Source organism: Homo sapiens, chromosome 4 (assembly GCF_000001405.40).
Source record: "Homo sapiens chromosome 4, GRCh38.p14 Primary Assembly".
Lineage (NCBI taxonomy): Eukaryota > Metazoa > Chordata > Mammalia > Primates > Hominidae > Homo > Homo sapiens.
The window spans coordinates 116,222,308-116,227,527 of NC_000004.12; the positions used below are offsets into that span (position 1 = coordinate 116,222,308).

General features: G+C 33.8%; 1 long non-coding RNA gene across 1 annotated transcript; it reads left to right on the top strand.

Annotated features, from left to right (window-relative positions):
• Positions 1-330: 330 nt before the first annotated feature.
• On the top strand, positions 331-1,147 carry LOC124900835 (uncharacterized). The gene is made up of 2 exons (XR_007058426.1): positions 331-509; positions 765-1,147. It is a non-coding gene; the product is annotated as an uncharacterized LOC124900835 (long non-coding RNA).
• Positions 1,148-5,220: the final 4,073 nt, after the last annotated feature.

A 5,220-nucleotide genomic window follows, 5' to 3' on the forward strand; every position in this document is an offset into this window, starting at 1 on the left:
ATATGTTTTAAAAACTGAAGTCGATTTAACTGTCCATAATGCAAAATCACTTACTATGCTTTTCCTTTAGAATCACTGTTTTTAAAAGTTAAGCTATGGATTCAGTAACAATGAGCATATCTAGCACATAGCTATGGTTTCTAATACTGTGGCTGTTTTTACACTGGGACAAGAAATACATAGGAAGAACATGGAGAATCTTTTAGTAGCAGAAAGTAAGGAGGTACATAAACACATACACACACACACACACACACACACACTGATAGGGGTATCTCAAAAGGAAATAAGAGCCAACTGAAAGATCTGCCTACGTTACCAGCAGCGAATCCATACGTTCTGCAGCAACCTCAATTCTTGCCTTCTCATAAGAAAGAATTGGACTGAGGGGCATAAGACAGAAGGAGAGACCAACGCAGAAGTGAAAGTTTATTAAAAACCTTTAAGACAGGAATGACAGGAAGTACAGTATGCATGGAAGAGGGCCAAGCAGCTACCTGAAAGATCAAGTGAGTGGTTTGACCTTTTGACTTTGGGCTTTATATGTTGGCGTACTTCTGTGGTCTTGCCATTTTCTCCCCTGATTCTTCCCGTGGGGTAGGCTGCCTGCATGTGCAGTGGCATGATAGCACTTGGGAACTGAGTATGTGCGTGTGTTTACTGGAGTTGTATGTCTGCTCATTTGAAGTGTTCTTCCCTTACTAGTCTAGCATTCCTGGAGGAAGGTCATATGCCAGTTAAACGCCTCCATTTTTTCCTCTTAGTGCGCATGCCTGAGCCCACTCACCACCCACCTCCTGAGATCTTATCCTGAAGCTGCCGATCACCAGTATCACGTGTTTCTATCTATTAAGAGACAGCCTTTCCCTGGCACCAGCTGTGACCAATTATTATTTTAGTGACACAGTTAACGACTGCCTGCCCATCACCTTATGGACATCTGACAATTCCTGGTGTGTTTGTGTTGGAAAGCCCTCTCCTGCCCGGTTCATGCCTGATGAGCTACCTACAATAACATCTACAGCTAAAGCTGGAACAATTTGAGCAACAACATAAAGAAATTAGTATTATAGCTCAGAGTATAAAATATATATCAAGCACCTACAAATAGTATATTGCTAAATAAATGAGAAAAATTGATATCCTATGCAAAATAATTTTAAGTCATTTATGTAGATACTCTGCCCCCAGGGAAATGGAGCATAATTCCCTATCTCTTAAGTGTGAGCTGCCTAGAATGACGCCTTTAGTAAACTGACAGTGACAAAACCGGTCACAGACTTCCTCAGCCAGGCAATAGAGGTTCACAGCAGGGGTAAGTCATGTTAGTATTGATATTGATATGCTATGAAAAGAATGACACTTAATCCTTGTGGTCTTCCTCCCCAAACCCTAAATCCTCAGTCTTATAATCATGGGGAAAATGTTAAACAAATTCATATTACAGATATTGTAAAAATACTGTTAACATCATCCAAAACAAAGTATTGAAAAAATCCACTGTCTATTAGGAACCTAAAAAGACATAACAAGTAAGTACAATGTGGTATCACGGATGGATTTCTGGAACAGAACAATGAACATTGTGTAAAAACAAGGAAAATATGAATAAAGTATGAACTTCAGTAAATAGTAATGTATCATTACATTCATCAATAGGACAAATATACCATAATAATGTAATAAGATGTTAATTACACAAAACAAAACTGGCTGTGGGGTAATTGGAGCACGGTACTATATTTTTAATTTATCTGCAAATTTAAAACAATTCTAAAATAAAAAGTTTGCTTAAAAAATTTTAAAATCCAAGATAAATAGAGGAATAAATGAGGAATAATGTGTGATAAAACAACTGTAATGGTTGAATCTATGTAGGTACTATATACTCGTTCAGTGTTAAATTCTGTTAACATCACTATTTATTTGAAAATTAGAATAAATAGGTGAAAGGAAAGAATTAAGTTCAGTAGAAGGATCAAACTCAATAATTTATGCCAAATGAGTCTCCCATGACCATGAAAATACTTACACATAGGAAAAAATGCTTTTACATTTATCTGAGAGTTCTTTTTTTAACATACCATAAGACCATGTATTCATTTATTAATATTTATTGAAGGTTTTTTGATAAGTTTATAAAAATTTAGGTCTTTTGTTTTTGAGACAGGTTCTCACACTGTCACCCAGACTGGAGTGCAGTGGTGTGATCTCGGCTCACTGAAACCTCCCCATCCCTGGTGCAAGCAATCCTCCCACTTCAGGCTCCCCAGTACCTGGAACTACAGGCACACACCACCACGCCTGGCTAAGTTTTGTATTTTTTGGCAGAGATAGAGTTTCACCATGTTGTTCAGGCTGGTCTCAAACTCCTGACTTCAGATGATCCACCTGCCTCGGCCTCCCAAAGTGCTGGGATTACAGGCATGAGCCACCACACCTGGCCAAATTTAGTCCTTTTTAAAATTCTACAGTCATTGTTATTTCTTAGTTGACAAATGTTTTGAAGTGTCTATTCTTATATTAGACTTCACTTAGGAAACAGTAACAGAAATACTAAGCTAGGATTTCTGATGAGTTTTATCAACCTAGACTTAAAGCCATGGCTCTAAGTGCTTAGATGATATGCTTCTCTATGATTAAATTAAAGTCTTACCATTTGTTCCAAATGTTTTCTAAATCAAATGAATATATGCATGTGAATATGCAAGCAGGTGTGGGAAATTTAAATATTTTGAAGTCATATACAGAATTTAAATAGTTAAAATATGCAGTGACAGTGGAGAAATTTTCTTTTTACTTACTACTATAAAATCAAGTATAATTATTTTCTCTGGCATTTCTTTACAAATATGCAATATTATAGAATGTTAATAATCAAGTGGTATTTTTGCTTTAATTTCTCTTTCACAAAGTTTGGTTCTAAAATGTGAATATTTATGAGAGAGATAAGATGCAAAAAAGAAAGTTTATTATAGGTCTCTATAATCTTTGAGAAGTTCACATGACTGAGAAATATAAAATAATTTGATATTCAATGACTGAATATACTGAGGTCCAAATAATTCCTTTAACTTGATTTGTTAGACACAGAGCTACTCATAATATTTTTTCAAAATCTAAGTGTGATGTGAAAAAAGATATTGCTATAACAAGGTTTTATATTTTTTTAAAAAGAAGGAAAACTGTAAAATCTTTTGATTTGAAAGAGTAAGTTTACATTTTGTAACATAAAATGCTCTTCAGCTTACGATGGGGTTATGTCCCAATAAACCCATCTTTAAATTGAAAATGCTGCCAAGTTGAAAATACATTTAATGCAAATAAAAACTACAATGAATTATCATCTCACACCAGTCAGAATGTCTATTATTAAAACGTCAAAAAATAACAAATGCTGGTTAGGTTGTGGACAAAAGGGAGCCCTTATACACTGCAGAAAGGAATGTAAATTAGTTCAGTCACTGTGAACAGCAGTTTGAAGATTTCTCAAAAAAATTTAAAACAGAAGTACCTTTAGACCCAGTAATCCCATTACTGAGTATATATCCAAACGAGTATATATGTATTTATATCATAAAGACACATGCATGCAAATTTGCATTGTACCACTTTTCACAATAGCAAGGACATAAAATCAATCTAGATGCTCATCAGTATTTGACTGGATAAAGAAAATATAGTACATATACACAGTGGAATACTGCACAGCCATAAAAAGAATGAAACCCTTTCTTTTGCAGTGAAATGGATGCAACTGGAGGTTGTCATCCTAAGTGAAGTAATGCAGGAACAGAAAAACAAATACCACATGTTCTCCTTTATACGTGGGTCTAAATTCTGAGTACACATAGACACAAAGAGGGTAACAATAGGCACTGCAACTTACCTGAGGGTGGAGGGTGAAAGGAGGATGAGGATTGAAAAACTATCTATTGAGTAGTATGTTTACTACTTGGGTGATGAAATCACTTGTACACCAAACAAGTGACATGCAATTTACCCATGTAACAAACCTGCACATGAACCACATGACAGTGAAATAAAAGTTGGAAAAAAAAAGAAAGAAAGAAACATAAGAGAGGCCAATAAAAAGCTTTTGGGGGCCAAAAAGAAATAAAAACAGAAAAAAGCTTTCTTTGGCCAAAAAAAAAAAGCAAAAGATTATGCATTTAATACTATACCTAACCTACTGAGCATCGTACCTTTACCCTAGCCTACCTTAAATGTGCACAGAATATTTACATTAGCCTGTTTCATAATAAAGTGTTGAATTACTACTCTTGCTTCTTTATTTCTATAAGCTAGTTAAAATGATGAAGAAAAAATTAAGTGAGAGAAAATTTAGTCTTATGTAGTATGATACATTTAAAAAACAAATATTGAATTAAAAGTCAGAAAGCTTGAAGTTACCTAGATTTTTCAAAATAAACTTTTGTTATCATGGAAAAGACACTTGACTCTCTGTGCTTCTATTTAGTTATTTACATAGTTAGAGAATTACGTTAAACAAAATCTATAAACTTCTGCTCTAAAATTTATTCTATCAATAGACATGTTTATTGGAAAATATGCTAGATGCAATGATTTATAATCTCAAAGGATACCACTATTCTTCCATCACGAAAGTTAGCTCCAGCTAGTGAGTAGAGCCAAGACTGCAAATAGTATATAGGTCACTGCATCTGAATATTCAAATAGCCAAAGGCCAAACTGGCATTAAAGTACAAAATATTTATGGGTATAAAGTTATAATAAGAAAAAATTGTAGAAATATTTTTAAATAATTAAAAATATACATTAAGAATGTGTGTTAAGGAAGAGTCTACTCTGATTGGATTGGATCTTTTGGTAAAACTGTTGTCATTTTTGAAAAATCTGTTTATTTCACTCACATTTTATGGTTTACTCCTAATGTTTGAATAAAAAGAAATAACATGGCAGGTTAATAAAAGAGGACCAGTAGAAAGAGTCTGACTAAGGTTATGTTATTAGCTATTTTTACAAACATGCATGTATGCACACACATGCACACACACACACACACATTTAACATCAAATAATTAGGCAAAATAAAAGATGTTAATGTATTTTAATTTCCACATTATGACTAAAAGTATAATTATTACGACTCTGCATTATAGGGTCTGTAATTTTTTTCTTTGAATTGTATAAATAGACTGCATATCTAAGGAATTCATTGTTCTGCACCTATATGTT